Here is a 20,564-nt window from a genome sequence, read left to right on the forward strand (position 1 = left end):
GTACAGTTTCCATCAGCAAGGAAAACGCTTTTTAGAAAAAGAGATCTAATAATACTTTTGGAAGAGCTATTTCCGAAGGTGAAAATATCTCCAATGTCATAATATTTATTTGTATACTTGTGCATATGTATATGTTTAGGAATCTCTGGTTGAGTGTTTCATATTTGTGAAGTACATATAAATCACAAGTTTGCTTTATGTTTTCTTCATGGCAACATTCCTTCGTTTATCATTCTTTTATCATGCGGCAAAGCAAATCTTGAGAATACAGTTTATTTTATCCTTAAATACTTCCAGCTCAGAATTAAGAATACAAATCAAAGTGTGACAGAAAGTTTATTGCCAATGTCTGACTCTTTGTGTTCATGTTAAAATACACTTCATGTATGATACTTCTGGATGCTCTTAATAAATAGCTAATTTATCCAACCATTTTTTGTTGTTCCAACTAGGAGTATCACACTGTTCATAGACTGGCATCTACTCTCAAGAAAAAAGTTTTTATAATGTAAAGGAGAACTGTTATCATTCAGAAATATGAGCATCCACTTAAATAACAAAAACCAAGTCAATGATATTTTAGGATATATTAGGTAAGATTAAAACTTTTTGAAAGTTTTTGAAACTTTTTTGAAACTTTTTGAAAGGTTTTAATATAGTATGTTAAGCTTGGATAAGTGATAAGTATCGGCATCAAATATGCATAAAAATTATTAGTAAATACCATGCAACTTCATGGTCCAATTTCTTATTTACTTAGAATTTGTAAGAAGTTATTCACTTTAGGTTTATCATCCATCAATTGAAACACTTTTAACAAGGAGCAATCAAGGATATTTGTAGTGTATACAGTTAACAGCAGTGTTATAAAATTGAGGGATGCTTAATTTTACAAGAAAAAGAAAAAAGTTCAAAGTATTCTCTCCAAAAGCAACTTTCATCAAAAAATAACTAAAATTTCATAAAATAAAGGAAATAAATGATAGAGATTAAGAACATCTAGTAGATACTTAGCTATAAAGTTGATCTCTGAAAATGCATGTGCTTACCATTTCTTTACTCACTTACACTTACAAAGAGAATAAACAGTTCACATATAGGTTTTACATAATAAGTATCTGAATGTATGTGAATTAAATAGAAAATATTTCAAAGGGAATGAGACTGAGGAGAGTTGTTAGACCTTCACTGAAAATAATGCCTATTTCCTACGAGACTCATAGCAGCCCACCATTTGTAACAATATAGTGCCTCTTTTATTATCGTCTAGTATTTATTTTTAATTTGGGTAAGTTATTTTAATTGTAATAAACTAATCAATTATAGCTCATATTCTCTATCCAAAAGAATTTAAGCTTCAAAGTAGGCTCCCATTTAGTTAAGAGGGCAAATTTACAGTTTACACGTGGACTGTGTTACTGATATAAAAAATACCATCTATAATAGTTACATCTCACCTAGCATTTGAATGTAAAGGTCTTGGACCATAATAAAAATAAAGATAATAGTTATTGAACCATATTGAGTGCCAAGTGAGCTACACATATATTTCCTTTAATTCTTACTATAATTTTAATAATGAAATATTTATGATTGTTAGAAACATGTGGGATATAATAATAGAACTTGGCTAAAATTGTCAAAAAAAGGAAGTTTATTATTTCAAAACAGGAGATACACAGTGATAGGACATTTTCAACACTGAATATTGAGCAGCTCAATAATGCCATCACAAACCAGGTGTCTCCCATCTTTCTGCTATTTGATATTCAATGTGCTGGCTTGTTCTGTTTTCTTGGGTTCATTCATGATTCCAAGACAGCTGCTACAGTTCTAGAAAATATATCTCCACTTAGCTGAATATAGAGTTACAAAAAAGACAGCATCACCTAATCTTCTTTCATCAAGAAATAAAATGTTTTCTAGTAGTTTCCTACTGATATGCTCTTAAAGCTCATTGGTCAAAATTGTGTCACATGACCTTTATTAACCAATCTCTAACAAGGAGAATAAAGCTGTTATAATTGGCCTACCTAGACTAGAAAGTTTCAGTCTTGGAGGAGAGGAATAGCTCCTTTCCTTCCTGAAGGGCAAAGTCCTAAAATATAGTGTTCATTTAACAAAGTGGATTAGAGAGTGGATATTAAATGGAGAACAAGTTGTGTCAGCCACATTAATCCTAGAATTATTTTATGTTTAAGGAATTTAAGACTCACAAAGTTTTGCCTAAAACATGGCTAATATATAGTAGATATTGAATTTTTATACTTATGTTTGTCTCCAAATTCTACTTCTATACAGTAATAACGACTTGTTTCTTAAATATTAAGTGAAAAACTCTGTCATATTTTTAAATTCTTTTATTTTCCAAAATTGTTAAGCTATGGGGGAAAGACAATCAATATACATTAAGGTGATTTGTCTTGTGAAAAAATATTTCAACCTCTGCAAGAAAAAAATCTGCTTTTTTCTTTGGATGATACCCTTCAAAATAATCAGTGCTACAGGCTTAATTGAAGTGATTTTTAGGCAGAGGTGGGAGAAAACTGAGGAGGTAAGACTGGGTCTTTTTACTGGCTCTAAATACACCCCACATACCTTAGGTATGATATCTTCACATACCATGTACTGCTTCCCTGTGACTAGGCTCATACTAAAGGAAATACAATTGAATCATCTTTAGATTAAAAGGTATGAACAAAAAGTGAGAAGTTGGAAAAACGAGAGTAGACATTCAGATTCTTACTTATGTTGCAATCAGAAACACTCCAAACGTTGAGTTAAAGCCAATCAGGAGACTGACACAAGGGAGGAGCATAATGCAGTGCAGGAGATACTGACCTGAGATCAAAGAAACCTACTTCCCACTCAACAGCTCTTTGATGTTTTGTCATTGTACCATCATGTCTTTGCAGTGACAAGTCACTCTCCACGTATATTTTCTTGAATAATGGATTGGATCCTAAATTTGGGAGGAAGACATAAAAAGTGTACCTGGATACCCAGTTTTACTTTGAGTATTCAATGTATTATTTATTTTGACACACTTTTCTGGAAAGTCCGCTTCTGGCTGTGAGGCTAAATGAAAGACTCTAACATGTTTGGTAAAGAAGGCAATATAATTTAAGGCAAGCAAATGTGCTTTACCTTGCTCAGCCAAAAGTATTGGATTTAACTTTCCAAATAAAAATGAATCTCAAAATGTCCCCCCTTTTTTCTAGAGCAGTTCACTAAATCACAATAAAATATTTAAAATGATCTTACTGGAGAATGATAAACTTATACAGAAATTCCCGATTTAAAAAAAAAGATCAAAAGTAAACATATTTTAGCTTTCTCACAAATAATCAGCAACTGCAACACTTGCTGTGGTTCTTTCTGTTTTGCTGTAACTCGACAACGTTTTAAATTCAAAAGGTTTCTGCTAGGATTGGATTATGATTATTATGCAGGAACATATCCCAGTATAAACAGCTTTCTTGGCATTTACATATTGCTCCCACATGCTTCCATTTCTGACTTCTCAGTAAGTCAGAAGCACATATTTTATTGTTATGAAAAGAACACAGTTTTCTATTTACTATAGAATCTTGGGTCTTTACAAACAGAATAATCCAGCATCACAGCACTTATGCAGCCAAAACCTGAATTGATAATGATATAAACTTGCAAAGCAAATAAATATTTCAATCTAAAATCTGTACTATTAACACAAGGTCGTCAAAGGTTTTCTATAATGAATTCAGAAATTCCAGCCTAACTAATTGCTTTTATAATAATGAGGGTCAACTAGCTGAACAAAAAGTGAGGACGGGACGTAAGCAGCTTTTGTTTAACCTAGACAGAGACAGGGAGCCTCTTTCCTGGGGTGGCGTAAACAGCACAAATCTGCCCTATCTGCAGTTGCCATTTAAATGAACCCTGTTTTCTAATACTGGAACTAGGCCTATTATTTCATACAAGGAATATATACCAAGGTTTCTAAAAATCAGGTATATACACCCTCAAAAGTGAAAGTAACTAATCAATAGTAGACTTTCTTACAATTTTACACCATTTAACTATCCTCATGGAGAGTCCTAAATTGCCATATGGAAAACACCGCCACACACACCTCCAGGGCCAGTGTGTGAGAACCACTTTTAATTTTTCTTGCCTTCATTCTGATCATTCATTTTGTTAAACAAGGCATTCTGGCCTTCCTCATCTTAGATACGTAGCAAATTATTACTACTAAAGGATAGTGGGCAACAACTCAAACTCAATAAAAATGGGTCATTCAGAGCATTTTTCCAAAGTGGTTTTTATTTAAAGATATGTATTTATAACAACTCTAAGCCCTTTTTTTTTTTTCTGTAGGAGCAAAAATGGCCCCTTTTCTGAAGGTCATCAAAAACTATATAGTTTTGCAAATCTGCTGTAGAATAGACAGCCTCGGGGGGAGTTATAAGAGAAAATGGCAGGCATGGCTTATCAGAAGAGTATGTATGATATAGTGAACATCAGTCTTTACATGTTAAGTCATTAACTGTTTAGGGTGCAGATAGTTCTTCATAAAGAATCAGATGTTCCATTCCTCTAGTATGGTAAAACCGGTGCCATAAAGTCATTGCAAAAGACAGCAAACAACTTTGTTATTGTAATGTGCTTTTTTTTCTTTTAACAATAGGTCTAGCAGGTGGCATGTGGCTATGGCTGGGTCTATCTCCATCTCCAGGGTGCCAAGATGTCCCTCAAAGTTTCTGTGGGAGGAATTTGTTGGTGGGATTTGGATTGTAAAGGCACGCGAGCATCTGCTGCCTCCCTGGTCTCATTACCATTCACACAATTAACTCCTGCAGCTCTCAGCTCAACAGCCAGAACCAAGGACTCAATTTTACTGCCTCTTTGACAATGCTCATTATCATTCATCTAAACTTAAGAGTTCCCAAGCTTTCAACTCAGTGGAAAGTTTTCTTGGGGGAAAGAGATCACACAGAGGAAAGCCTTTGGAATGAAGAGAGAAGGAGCAAAAAAAAAAAAAGATTAAGGACCTAAAATCAACACCTTGAAGTAACTGAGTTTCTAAAATGTGGAATTTTATTTCATTTTATAAGTAACACGCCACATCTTTAAAGACTGCCTCCCTCATATTTCAAAGGCCTGTGTTTGGTCTCCTAACATTTTCACTTAAGGAGCTATGATCAGTTAACAACAATAGTTCTTTCTACTGTCCTCATTGATACTAGGTCCAATTTTGCATCTCGTGGAAGCTTTGGCCAAAACTACAGCTGCCTGAGAAAAAGAGTTTTGAGTAATTTTCCATAGAGAGTAAACAGAGTGTTTTGTTATGCAAGGAGAGAAAGATTCACAAAACATGACAAATTCAAGAAAGCCTATATTTTTAAAGCCTCAGCAGTCCGATTATGTTAAATTGCATAAATATCAGCCTGCTACCTGAAAATTAAAAGTGTACTGTCCCTTTCACCATTTTGTTTCATGATAAATATTTACAAACTGCAGTTTTTAACAAGTTTATGTTGGACAAGAGTGAGGTGATAATAAATGATTTTTTTATAGGTTAAATAGCAGAAGCCTATTATTTATTGACATGTAGGCTACAAGGAGGTTAAAAGAAAACCTCCTTCCTTGATGTCAAATAAGTGATACAAAAACTGCACCTTCTCTTAAAGATATAACTTAATTTTTAAAAAGAAGCATTTAAAACAGTCTGCTCAAATGAAATAAAGCCTCTTTGGAACAACAGAAGAATGATTAGGCTGCTAAAAGCTGTGAAAGCAGTGCTATATATATAGTGAAAGCTATGAAGATTAATTTGTACTTTTACAAAAAAATTAGATAGTGAAAAATAGGTAAACTTTTACTTCAATGACTACAATTAAAAAATATGTATTTATGATAGCACTATTGAAAATTTTGTATATATTTAGCTCTATATTTCATAGAAACAGGAAACAATCTTATTGATACTGATTATCTTGCTTTTCCTTTGAATGCCATACATCAAAACCTAAAATTTCATTACTACATATACATTTTTAATATAGCATTAGGAAAAAAGAAATTTTGGTTAAGATTATATGGTTTGTTTTAAATTACCTAATTTTATAAACCATTCTTTGCTTCTTCCCAAAATGCAAATTTTCTCAAATAAAACCCAGGAGAAAATAAAATTAATGTTTGGGATGTGATATAATTCAAGCTCACCAACATGTAGATGGAGAAAAAATATCTTCATTTTTAAATATTTTAATGGTTATAGTTATAATTCTTGTGTGAAGGATAGGTAATGTATATTTGAATCTATAGAAAATGCATTGCCCCCTGGCTTCTTAGACAAAATAAAAGTGGGTATCTGAGTTCCTTATGTATTTGTCTTGATGTAAGTGATAACATGCCATTGAAGAAATTGTGCACACCTAGATTTCTTAACAGAATAGAACACTCAGTCATTTTTCTATTACGCAAAAGTTTAGTATGAACATCTCTGGTTATTTACAATATTCACAAAGACTTGCACGGTAAGAATGTAAAACCCCAATTCTGACTTCTCTGTACCATGCAGAAGTGTGACTGCAGATTTTTCTAAAAGTTGCATCCACACAAATACAATTTATGTTGTTAGTTGTTTCTTGAATTCTGCTACTCACATGGAATGCTGTCTGGTTCACAGCCTTTGTATTTCTCTTTTTTCCTGTCTCAGACCATTTGAACCCTTCCCTTTCCATCCCCAGAGTTCTGAGCTCTGCCCCAGTATATCCAAAACCAATCTTGCCTGAGTCAGGAAGGAGGTATGAATGTTGGTGCTCAGCAATTATTGATGCTTATGTTGACACTGACACTAGGCCTGTTGCGTGGCTCTAATTAGACTTCTTTATACCTGATGCGTCATCCTTGCCTACTGTCCCACTTCAATAATTGACGTTTAGACACTGTTTGGTTTTGCTAGTTTTATTCTCTCACCATTCCAACTCCAAGTTACTCAATCCTCCTCCAAACTGTTATGACTGTTGTCTTTATATCAGCTGGTGAAATTCCATGATGCTGCCTCTATTTTTGGAATCTCCTCTGGAATCCTCGCTGTTTGCACCACCTACTGTGAGATTGCACTACCAGCAATCTCATCTTACGCTGCCAAGTGCTCAATGAATGATGGTCTGTAGTGTGCTGTCAGATCCTCCAGTGTTCTACTCACCACATTGGATTTTCTTTTAATGCTTTTGGGTAAGTCCCCTAGAATTTACTGTGCTCCTGCAACAGGTTTTGTTTATAGGCTCTCTCTCCTCATGGCTTTGCACAATCATGTTGTTAACTAGGCCTTGCTTGTCATACTTGCCTATGTCCATAACATAAATGAGCTTTTAGTAATAGTTCTTCTTCTTAATGCATTATGAAAAATGTGAACTTCACAGAAACTGAAACACATGCCAACTGCTTAAATTCCATCTCAGTTATTGCAGAAGTCTATAGCATGGAATGTTGTTGAAAATAATAGAATGCAAGCATATATATTATTAATACAAATAGATCTCCAACAGCAACAGATTGTGTTTTATCTTTGTGTATCATGTTAGCAATGTTGTCTCAGATATTATTTTTAAAATTGTACCTAAAACAAAGCAAATCTGCATTAATGAACCAAGATATTTGGACCAAGTCAAGCTCAGTACTTGGCTTACTATTATGCTATAACAAATAGAATCGGGCATAACATTATAGCAAAGATATTTGCTATATTTTCTCTAAGGATTCTAATATGCATCAGTTTTAATATATATAGATATGTGTGAATTCATATATACTTTCATTATTTATTTAATATGTCAATTTAACTTTTCAGGAAATGTAATGCCATACAGCCACATGCTAATATAATTAAAATAATAAAGTGTACTTTCTCTCCAGAGTTATAAGTATGACAACATCCAAATGTTTATTAAAATGTTTTCTAAAAAGCATATGCTCCCAGGCACATGAATTAAATCCCTGAGCAAATACAATGCATAATGAAACAGCTGGTATCACCTCTTACAAATTAAAGAATATACAAATTTTAATATTTTCATGATAAGAGTTAGAAGTAACCTGAATTTTCAAACTCTATCACACATACAAATGTAAACACATATTAACTTATTCTTCATGTGTTAGAAAAATTACTTTTCTGATAAAAAGTAAAATTTTACCATTACCTAGTAAGGAAAAAAAATCTGTGTATATTGCTAACAAAATTGATGTGCTGAATTCAGTCTTTAGACGGACTATCTGCTAATCAATGTTAAAGTGTCATATTCACATTTTGCCTTGAGTCCCCTTTTAAAACCATCATGTTATTAAGATATTGTTTGACTGTTTTGCCCTTAGAAAGTCTCTGTAAATCATGGAATAAAGAATAAGGCTGTTAAGCAAATGTAAAATAAGTCAATCATGTATTGTATGACATATGGGCAATTTCCATTAAAGAAGTTTGTGTGTGAATAAAAGTAAAAATTCTATAAAATGAAATATCAGAGTCTAAATGGATCTGGAAGATAACTGTTATGAATGCCACACTAGTCAAATTCCTTGGGTAGGGTGAATATCATTCCTAGTGATTTTCATTCTGCAATTTGAATCAGTAGTTTAAATATTAGCACTTAACGGGTTTTTTTGTTAATCACAATATAGAGTCAATACAGAGTTCTATTTTATTCTTCAAAGTATTATTTTACCTTAACTATTTGTAATTATAAATGCTAGTTTGGTTAATGAGGTTTGTGATGAATGTTTGTTTTATTGAACTGATGGCATTGATTCACAAAACTTTTTGTACTCCGGGTCATGATTGCCTCTCAAATGAACAGTGGCTCTCCCTTAATCAGCAGTGACACTGAACAGCGGATGTATGATCCTTAGAGAAATGCTGCATTTTTTTTGTCATGATCTTCCCTTTGGTTTCATATTGGAATCACCTGAGGAGCTTTAGAAAACGCTGATGCCTGGGTCTCACCCCCAGAGAGTCTGACTTCATTGGTCTGTTTTGCTTCCTGAGGAGCTGGAAAAGTTCCCCAGGTGATTATAATCTACAGTCAAAGCTGAGACTTATTTCACTAGAATCTTTTTCTTTTTCTTTTTCTTTTTTTTTTTGACAGAGTCTTGCTCTGTCACCCAGGCTGGAGTGCAGTGGCGCAATCTCCGCTCACTGCAACCTCTGTCTCCCAGGTTCAAGTGATTCTCCTGCCTCAGCCTCCCGAGTAGCCGGGATTACAGGCGCGAGCTACCATGCTTGGCTAATTTTTTTGTATTGATAGTAGAGATGGAGTTTCACCATGTTGGCCAGGCTGGTCTCAGACTCCTGACCTCGGGTGATCCACCCACCTCAGCCTCCCAAAGTGTTAGGATTACAGGTGTAAGTCACCATGCCAGGCCTTCACTAGAATCTTTCCAAAAACAAGAAATTTGGCTATGAAAATGATGTCTGTCTTATGCATAAAATATTGAAACAAGTAAACTAGTTTCTGGGTTGGTAGAAAAGTTGTATTTACATCTCTTTCTAGATGGGAGTATAGCAGTAGAAGAAGCACATAAAGGAAAGAGGTGGTGGTGAGAAAAATTAAAGGAGAAGAAACATTTGCACCTTCTGGAGGACAGTAAAGGAGAGTGGACATTGTGTGTCAGAGAGAGTTAGGGACAGGGTGCAAAAAGCATCCCTGTCAATCCCTTTCTGCCTTACATTCCTTTATCGTTGTGTTATTCACATAAATGTAAAGATTATACATAAATAATAGCATATTGGGAGGAGAAATACAACAAAATATCAACATTATATTATAGCTATTAACTATCACTGCATTAAAAAAAAAAAGACTAATTGTAAACAAATCCTGCCTTTAGTGATTCTCTAGAAATAATGAGTTGCTTCTTGACCAAGGAGAAGTCTGGACTCACAGATGCCTATATTAATATGATCATTTGTGTTTCCATTCAACTATTTTAACAGTATAAAAATTACATCTTTGATTTCTATTTAAAGGTCAACTTCACTCAAACTGAAAAATGAACTATCAATTCAGAAACAATCGTGAAGAAAAATGGTGATAAATGAGCCACAATACAAATGTTACACTTTAAATAAAAGAGGATTCTCTGAGGCAAATTGGGAAGTTATATGGCCCTATCAAACATGCATTTAAGCTGAGGTTCTCTGAAGGAAATAGATTTGGCTATCTTCCAAGGTAGACGAGATATCTAGGCGAGACCAGGTGAACAGGGATGGCAGAAAGTAGAGTTTTAAAGAGTTAAGATTTCTCTTTTCCCATCACTATGGGGGAGTGCCTGGAAGACTCTTTAGTATTTTAAATGTGTGCCAAGTTACTTGAGTAATGTGAAATTGATACCTCACTCTATAGCTCAAGTACTGAAATTATTAAACTTTAATTTTTCTCTTAAATGGTATATTATAGATAACAATTGACATAAAAAGGCAAGGGGCAAGTGGTAAACACAGAAAAAATAGATGAGCACTATGGAAGCAGAGGCATGGTATCAGAGAATTAGAAGAGTCTAGTTAGGGGAGACTTCTGCTAGATACCATGCTGAGAGGTTGCTCTCATCTATTACAGGCTCTGCTGCTGATTTGAGATTTGACTTCCACGCAAAATTAAATGTGAAAAGGTGTTGCTTTCCTCCTGTTCTAAGTTTTTTCACCGGTATGCATTATGGTTGTTTCGCTAGATTAATCAATCAGTTGTCCAATCAATTAAAATCTTCATAGCACTTTATTTTCTGACAAATAGTCTTTCTTTGTGTAATGAAATGACTACCTACCTTAAACTAGTTGTGATAAAAATCAAGTCATTGAATGGTAATAATACAGAATAAATTATATGGATTATGCTATTTATAGTTATAAAAATTTCAAATGAAACAATGGACATACTCATCAATAGTAAGCTTTGTATAAACTATGTTTAAAAATGTCTCCTGTATAAGATTATGCCCCTGGAATGAGTAGCCATTCATCTAGTGCCTGTCAAGATGGAGAAAATTATATGGAATAAATTGCAAATTATCTAAGAAGTGTTAAATTTCAGAATGTATGTGAGCGTAGTTGTTTATATTAAGAAATATCAGAAGTATATTCACAAAATTTTTAAGTTTATCAATAGAGAAGGGAGACGAAAGGGCATGGTGGTGCATGTCTGTAATCCCAGCACTTTGAAAGGCCCAGGTGGAAGGATCACTTGAGCCTAGGAGTTCAAGATCAGCCTCGGCAACCTAGGGGGACTCCATTTCTGTACAAATTAAACTAATTAGCAGGCATCCTAGCTACTCAGGAGGCTGAGGAAGGAGAATCACTTGACCCTGGGAGGTTGAAGCTGCAGTGAGCCTCCAGCCTCCGTGATGGAGTGAACCTGTCTTTGAAAAAACAAAAATGAAAAAAAAGGAGATGGAAGAAAATGGGGTAGAGGTGAGAAGGATATAAACTGAATTTCTTTGCATACATGCTACTTACAGGTTGAACTTTGGAATAATGTAAATATGCTATTTAATTACAAAACAAAAATAAATGTTAAAATATATATATAAAATAACATGAAATAAAAATAACATGGAACAACATTTTTGGAAAATAGATCCCCTGGGCTGGGCACAGTGGTTTATGCCTATAATCCCAGCACTTTGGGAAGCCCAGGCAAGTGGATCACTTGAAGTAAGGAGTTTGAGGCCAGCCTGGCCAGCATGGTGAAACCTCATCTCTATTAAAAAAAAGCGAATGACAAAAAATTAGCCGGGTGCAGTGGCACACGCCTGTAATCCCAGCTACTTGGGAGGTCGAGGCAGGAGATTCACTTGAACCAGGGAGGCAGAGGTTGCAGTGAGGTGAGATCGCATCACTGCACACCAGCCTAGGAGACAGAGGGAGACTCTGTCCCTCCCCACTGCCAAAAAAAGTAAATAAAATAAAAAAGAAAATAAACACACTGATTTATACTTATATTTCCTATTTCTTGCCACTGAAAAGGTCTAGAATCAAAGACCAACTCAAGAGAAATGAGTTCTTTTAGTGCCCTAACTGTTGTCTCTCAATATCATTTTCCATTGAAAGGATCTAGGGTTCCTTGGGGAAATAGTTGCTTCAAAGTCTGAGACAGGAAATGTGTAAGATGAATCTGTATCATTTTGTCATAACAAAAAGCAAAAATGTCAGCAAAACCTATAAGAAAAATGTTTTAAGGACCCAGGATCAAGCTTGAATAAACTCACACTGGCCAAAGATGAAATCATTTGAGCATTATGAAGGATAATAACTACAATGTATTAAAATACATGAAACGTGTTTGCATGAATTCATAATGATAATAAAAACAAAAATTTTACTAGTCAACTTTTAAAGATGCTAAGAAACCAAATATCTGGTAAATAAAAGAAAGGAATTAAGAATTACCCTGCCTTGTCTAAATAACTTGTACTTCCAGTTAACCAAAGAGTTGATGTGGGAACATTCCTCCTTTTAGAATTATTCTGCTCAACGAAAGAAAAGGAATGTTAAAAATTGAATGTCATCATTTTTCAATCTGTAATGAAATAAAAGATATCGGCTATAATCATCAGTACTGATAATATCACAAAAAGACAACCAGAGACGTTATTTGCCTCTTGATGAAAATACACACTTAAAAAGTACACTTGCCCAAAACACCTAGAACAAATCTAATCAACCTTCTGGATCTAATTACCAAATTACAGGGAATACAGGGAAGAAAATCATGCTAAAGACACTGCTGGGATGCAATCAGCAAAACCCAAAATGTGGGAAAGAAAATTCTGTTAAAAAAAATCAAAACAGATCTTCAACAAAAAATTCCAGAAAGATTCCAGAGAGTACACGGTAAACTCTACATTAAAAGACATTTCAGTTAATCTTAAATTATGGCTCTTCTTTTCATTGACATTTTAAGCAAAGAAATTCTTAATAAAAGATAAACAATTAGGAAATATTTATTTTAAGGAATTTTAAAGATGTGATAATGATATTGTAGCTAATTTGATTAAAGAATCCTCATTAAAAAAAATTGATTCAGTGAAAAAGCATCACTTTAAACCTTAGGATTTTTCAGAGAAGTACCCTACAAGATGATTTTTATAAAAATAAGTTAAGTGAATGGTAATAATTTTACATTTCAAAAATATACAGACACAATGAATACCACAAATAATCACTCACTTGCTTCATTTGCCACTTAAGCCTGTAGATTATTGTTGTTTTAATCAATAAATCAATATGGCAATATCTAGTGCCAGTAATTCAGAAATTGTTCCAAGCAATGTGGCTTTCTGGCAACTGACCTTCCTGAATCTGACATACAACCTGAAGGCACTAGGAATTTAAAAACTCTTATTGATTTATATACTAACAAGTAATGTGCAGGCTGCTGGTGCCCATGTTCATGTTTTGTTCAGGTAGAAATACAACATTTGATACTGTATAATTAATAGGTGGGAAGTAGATCCCAGAGTAAATGGAATACAAGGGAGTGAATGGCAAAGGATAGCTGAAGCACATTCATGATCAATCAAGCTCCATCTTTAAGGTTTCCATTTAATCATCCAAGGTCATGAATTTACAAGAAATTAGTTTATGTCATTTCCAGATATTTGTATTTTATAAATGCCTAGGTGAATATATTTATACATGTTTATATATGTGTGTGTGTGCATATGAGTGTATGGAAATGTGAGTGTGTGTGCTAGAGAGAGAGACAAAGAGAGGAGAGAAATCTTACGGTGATTAACAGCAGACATTTTGGAATTAGATTTTCTTGGGTTTAGTTCCCATTTCTAGCATTGGCACATACTGGTCTTGCACCGTTGGCCAAATTACTGATATTTACTAATTCTCAATGATTTTATTTTTTACATAGGGCTAATAAGATCTTAACATTACAGTTTGTTGCATTAGGTGAGATAATAAGTTTGTAGAATTTAGCACATTTCCTGGCACCTAGTCAGCCGCTCAGCAAGTGATACCAAAAGCATGAATAATCTAAATTCTAGTTTTTAAAAATACACTTTTAGAGAATACAATATGGAGGGTTAAATTTTGAGAAGAATTTTCTCAATATTTTAATTTCCTTTACCTGGATTATCTTTAATGAGCCTGAAAGATTTTATGCCAAACCAGTATTGCTGTAAAAAGTCTAGATTCTGTGAGCACTTTCAGCTCCTAGAAGTAGCATACTTAATGGTCTGATTTATGCTTTAGTTTTGCCATAGCCAGGACTCTCAGTCTAGAACCCATTCAAAACTTTCCATAGGAATATACGTGTTATGTCACAGAGTGTCTGTAACAACATAAATGGACCAGTATTTGGTCTGATACCTCATATAAGACAAAATTGGTTCCTGAAAATACAGAATTTCTATTTACAAATATCACAAAATATTTAAAAATGATGTCAGCTTTACTGTTATCATTTCATTTTCCTTCAACAAATTTGATGTATTATAATACCAAACAATAATAAGCAATCTCTGAAAAGTCTCAATTCTTTCATTCAAAAAATTCATGTATTAGACTAAAGCAGTGCTTCACACACTTTAGTCATTCTTGTAACACCTATATGGGTTTTTGCATATCTGAGCATCACCTATATCATTATTTACTAAATTATTTTTTCTTCAAACTGACTTAGTATTTTCACTTAAAAGTTTTAAAAGGAGAAGATTTAGCCAAGCGTGGTAGCTAACACCTACAATCCCAACACCTTGGAAGGAGGAGGCAGGCGGATCTCTTGAGCTTGGGAATTTGAGACCAGCTTGGCCAATATGGTGAGACATCCAGCTCTGCAAAAAATAATAAAAATAATTAGCCAGGCTTGGTGACACATGCCTGAAATACCAGCTACTTTAGGTGGGAAGATCACTTGAGCCTGGGAGGTTGAGGCTGCAGCGAGCCGTTTTCACGCCACTACACTCCAGTCTGTGCAACAAAGTGAGACCCTGTCTCAAAAAAAAAAAAAAAAAGAAAAGTTACATCACTAATATAAATTGTAGTAGAGGAAAATAAGTGGAAAACCAAATCAGTTTCCATATTAATAAATATATATATACATACTCAAAAATAATACATAATTTTAAAATAAAAAATAAGATAATGATTATATCAATTTCCCTCTGCGTGGAATTTTATAAGACCTTTCATGATCCATACCTTGGTTAACTCCTAGTTCTTCTCTTATTTTGCTTCCCTTCCGTCTCTCTTTTGTAAGAACACTAAATGTCATTCAATCCTGTGTATTATCTAAGATCTCTTGCCACAGGGTCTTTGCACTTACTAGCTCTGCTTGGTACATTTTTCTCCTCTCTATATCTAGTCAATGATTATCCTTTTACACCTTAGTTGGAGAATGCTTTCTCAAGGAAATCTTCTCGGATCTCCCTAAGCAAGTCAAATTATCCTATCATAGGTTCTCCTATTTAGCTTTTGTCAAAATTGTGGGTTTTCATATGTTTTGTGATTAATTGATTTTTTCTTTCTCATTAGATTCGAAGTTTCAAAAAGGCTATAATAATTAATGGTTATTCATATAATTTTATCTCTAGCAACTAGTACATGCCCATCCCACAAGGAATGGTGAATATATTTTGTTAAATAAATGAATAAAATAATAAATGTATTTGTACCATATTTCTGAAAACATGAGGAAGAATATTTCTATAGTTGAAGAAAACAACCACATCCTTTATTCCTCTAACTGCATTTTTTCCCACTTCTAACCACGTTAAATTTGGATTTTATAACCAGCCAAGAGAAAATTAGGTATGATTTTTGTGATATTGACCATTTTTCCTGTGAAAGGTTGTGTCTCCTTTCTCAGGTAAAAGAAAGACTGTCAAAGTGATTTTGTGGTTTGGAATTTTGAGCTTCAGAATTCTCTGAGTTTGCCAAATTTTCTCAGACAGTGTCATTTCAATACTGGAACACCATTATTTTCATATTAGATCTTTAATTTTTACATTAAAGAAATGTATAGTTTGTAAATTCAAAAAGTAAATTTCACAACCATTGAAATAAAAATCAAAGTCCCTCCGTGGAATACCTAAAATCTTATACTTCCATAATGATGAACACTGGACTAACAGATTTTGAAGTTTTCAAAATCACATTACTTTAGATTCATGAAGATTTGATGATGCCTAAGGCATTTTTACATATATTATGTGTTTTGACCCTTCCACAAATACTAAAATTTGAGCAGAGCAAGTATTCATATTCCCAGTTAACAAATGTGATGACTTAGTAAAATGGTCACGATCTTAATAATAGTTTATGGTAGGTGTTCTGACTATAGAAGCTTAGTGTTGGAAAGGACTGGGTTATTAAAGTGGGCTAGAAATTAATGAAAGTCAAGGAAGTTTCCAGTTATTGTCTTGAGGACCTCCATGTAGACAAAATCAAGTACGGTGATGGAAGAAGTTTGGTTAGAAAAGAATCAAAGGTACGGTGTACATAAGATTTCATGAATCATGGGGAGTATTGGAATACTTGTAGGGAGAAACAATGAAAAGAGAAAACATAATAATTTATAATATAATCAAATAAAGTAAATATCAAAGAAGAAATGATCTGTCTCAAGTGGAAGACTAATGATGTAAAAGTGTCAGTGCAATGTAGGAGAATACCAACACTACCTTTTAATGAAAATATTCCTGAGACACAGAGAATTAGGGTACTAGACTCAAGTGATCTGTAAAAAAATCACCAATTTTAAGGGAGAGGCAAGTATTAGTTATGCCAAGGAAGTTTATCATTCTATGAAATGTCTGAGGCTACTTTCCTATGAGAGAGAGGGAGCAGGCTACAATGAAGAGGATGGTAGAGAAAGTAACTTTGAGCTGTCAGAAACGAGATGAGGGGTGTGGAAGAAGGTGTGGAGAAGGAGGAAGTCCTCCCTGAGGACTTGAGAAGGAGCTGGTTCTGAGAGACTTGCGTTGGTGGGGATAGGTGAACAACTGTCGACTTAGGAGTCTGTACCTTTTGCAGAATAGCCTTGAAATCTGGAGAAAAAGAAAAGCCTAATAATATAGAGATAATACATTTAAAATACATAGTTGAAAGGAAGAGTTTTTTTGTTCCTTTGTGGCCATGAAAGTGACAAGGAAAGCCACAAATGGGTCAGAACCTCTCTCTCTTTCTTTGTGTGTGTGTGTATACACACACATTATATATATATATGCTCATATGCATAAATACACATATATGTATATAAATACATATATACATATATACTCATATGTGTAAATACACACATATATGTATATAAATACCTATATACATATATACTCATGTATAAATACACATATATGTATATAAATACATATATACATATAGGCATTTTTACATCTGGCAAAATTCTGAAAGAAAATGTATGAAACCAAATTACAACATGTTCAATCTTATAGTTACATTTTGAATTCAAGCAATGAAAAAAAAGTGGCCATTAAGTTCCATGAAATAAGTTATTGTGTTGTTCCATACAGGATAGCAAAGGATAGGAAAAAGTAATGAAATTTAGCAAAGCCTATACCCCAGTACCATTGCCCAAGGAAAAAAGGAGCAGAGGAAAGAAAAAAAATTGCTAGATGAAGACAGAAAAAATTGAGAAAGCTTGAAAAACAAAAGTTGCTAAGATTAGATGGTCATTATTTTGCTTCTTTTCTCCTCACCTTATATCATCATGGAATTCATGGAGAGTAGATAGTTTGGAATAAATTGAGAGCCTAATTTGATTTGAATCAATACCTGTGACATCCTGTGCATTGCTCTGAATTAGGTATTTTTGAAGACAAAAAATAAACAAGGCTTCATAGAACATTCACTATATCCAAGATAATGAGCTGTGCACAAAAGAGTAACACAAAACACCCGTGTCGATTAGTGCCATGGTTGGAAAAAGAGCCTATGGGAGCAAAAAGGTTTAATTCTTTTTAGGAGTATCACAGACTTTTAAAATGGGATCATATGTAATTAGGACTCTGATGATTGTGTAGAATTTGTATAGGTGGAACTGGAGCAGAAGGGAATCAAGAGAATCCCGGAAATATTAAAATGGAGGGCAGGTCTTAGGGCAGGTGCTTTTTGTGGGCAATAAAACTGGTAATTCAGATCAAAAGGAAATATGGACATTCTGAAGGTCTTCGGAAGGCCTTGTTGAAAGATATTGTATTATATTGGTTACAAACTCTTGCAGAGATCTGATTAAAGCTGTTGCTTCTCATGCACATATGCACATTCAGTAATGTTTTGCACACTGTTTCATCGTTTCACAGAAGGCCTTGAGCTATCAATAAGTCTTACTCATAGGCAATGGGAAATCAATGAAAATATGAAAGTAAGTTTCTAAGAGCACACATTTTCTGATAAACTGCAAGCAATTTCTTTGTTTCATGTGAAACTCATCATCACCATCTACAACTCTGGATACAACATGGACTTAAAATTGCAATGGTCTTCCCAGGTGTGAAAAGATTAAAACATTTCTCTGGAGAGTTTTATGCAACGCCAAGGGTAAATACTTTTAAGAAGTAAATATCATCTATGTGAGCATATATCTCCCATTCTGCATTTGTAGAAAGAGCCCCTCTGATAAGTGTGCTAGTTTAAAGGAACATAATATACGTATTTTGAAAGCTGAGAAAAATGACAGAGTTTTGTTCCTCTCACGTTATTTGCATAAAGGGATTTTTATCACACAGACATTTCTAGAATTAGAAAAGAGCTTTCACAGATTTTACCCTTTGAAAATGACAATATCTAATCTCTTTGCTTTCATGAGCCTAGCCTGCATTGCCAAATAACTCAGGAGGGAAATAGTAAACTATTTTTCACAGATCCTCAATAATAGATGAGATATGAAATGAATTTCATGGAAGTTGAACACCCTGGAGGTTATTAGTTTGCCATAATATATAGCATTATTCTGACATCATATCATTATCATTATTATTTTTTTCTGCAACCAACCTAAAACATTTGAAAAATTTATCAATTTTATCATTTATGAATCTTAATAAAGAATGTGTGTCTTTTTCTTAAAACTGTTAAGCTATGACAGTCATTTATATTTTAAGTTATACATGCATGCACTGAATATTTAGTATGGCAACTTGAAGTATATTAGAGAAATAGTTAACCAACATTTAGTTAATATAAGATACACTTTTTAAGAGCAAGGAACATGTACACAATTAATGCATCAAATTATTGACATAAAAATAAGTAATAATTTACACAGGAATTATCAAAGGTTTAATTTTAAAGTCAAAATGTATAATAAATAGTGATCATTTTCTAAGTGTTATGCTTGGGTGCTAATATATTTTTAATATTAGTATGTATATATATGTGTGTTTTTTTTTTTACATTAGGTTAATGAGAGAACTAAATATGCATATTTAATCTCTAAAAGGTTCAACTTGGAAATTCTCTTCAGTATTTTCAAGCAATCCTCAGTGTCAACTTTTAAAAGTTGGGAATTGAGGATCTTATCTTTTATTAGCAATTTTTTCCTCAAAGACTCTACAAACCAGTATTAAAATGTTAACTAAACACAACAATATATATTTGTTAAAACTAATAAAACCTTGCACTTAAAATGGTAAAAAAAAATGTAAACCAAACATCAATAAAGCTGACTCTTAAAAAAGCGGGAAAAAATGAATCATGTAAAACTTTTAATGTACTTTAAAATAGATAAAAATATAGTTTGCAAATATCAGTACAGTTTGAGCATCTCAAATCTGAAAATCTGAAACCCAAATCCAAAATGCTCCCAAATTTGAAACTTTCTGAGAGCTGACATGATGCTCAAAGGAAATCCTCATTGCAGCATTTCAGATTTCAGATTTTCAGAATAGGAATGCTCAACAGGTATAATGCAAATATTCCAAAATTTCCCCGAAATCCCAAATCTGAAACACTTCTGGTCTCAAGCTTTTTGGATAAGTGATAGTCAATCTGCACAACCATGAGCTAAGGAATTTTTTTGCCCACCCTAAAGCCCATTTTCTAAAGAGTAGTACAATTAGAACAAATTTAAAATTCTGTGTTTATCAATATTTTTTCTTTCTTGAAAAATGTTATAAGCATTAATTTCACTACCAAAAATCAGTCCATTAAAAATTAAACAAAAATTTCCTCTTTGGTTTTTGGTAGGAGATGTCGAAAGAGTTTTCTTGATATATTTACTGTATTTTCTTGTTTTCATCATTTAAAAGATTTATGGTTATTTGTCTATTTAGCTAGCAGATGGGAAGTGATTTTCTCATGTTCTGTATTCATCACAGAATGACTGATCATTCCTATTTTCCCTCTATTTCAGAGAAAAACAAACAAAAAATAATTTTCATTATAGTTGTGCTACTTTCATTACAGTGTTATTGTCAGAAGAACCCTTTACACTAATCCTAGATATGAGTCAAGGCACTGAATATCCAGTAAAATAAAATAGCTTTCTTGTACTGTCTCCAGTAGCCTAGTTTTGATTCTAAGCCCTTCTTCTGCTAACCAGCTGCACACAACT

General features: G+C 33.5%; 1 long non-coding RNA gene across 1 annotated transcript in view, besides 1 other annotated feature; it reads left to right on the forward strand.

Moving 5' to 3' along the window:
- Positions 4,398-5,315: an enhancer, noted in NCBI's record as "OCT4-NANOG hESC enhancer chr4:138464138-138465055 (GRCh37/hg19 assembly coordinates)". NCBI's record gives its function as "activates a minimal SCP1, AML or CMV promoter by ChIP-STARR-seq in naive and primed H9 embryonic stem cells {active_cell/tissue: H9 hESC(naive and primed)}" and the evidence as "EXISTENCE:reporter gene assay evidence [ECO:0000049][PMID:30033119]".
- The window catches only part of LINC02172 (long intergenic non-protein coding RNA 2172), a 57,700-nt gene continuing 44,280 nt past the window's right edge, over positions 7,145-20,564 (forward strand). The window contains exon 1 of the long non-coding RNA NR_146553.1: positions 7,145-7,224. This is a non-coding gene — a long non-coding RNA (long intergenic non-protein coding RNA 2172). The remainder of the gene's footprint in view (positions 7,225-20,564) is intronic.

This window comes from Homo sapiens, chromosome 4, assembly GCF_000001405.40.
Source record: "Homo sapiens chromosome 4, GRCh38.p14 Primary Assembly".
Lineage (NCBI taxonomy): Eukaryota > Metazoa > Chordata > Mammalia > Primates > Hominidae > Homo > Homo sapiens.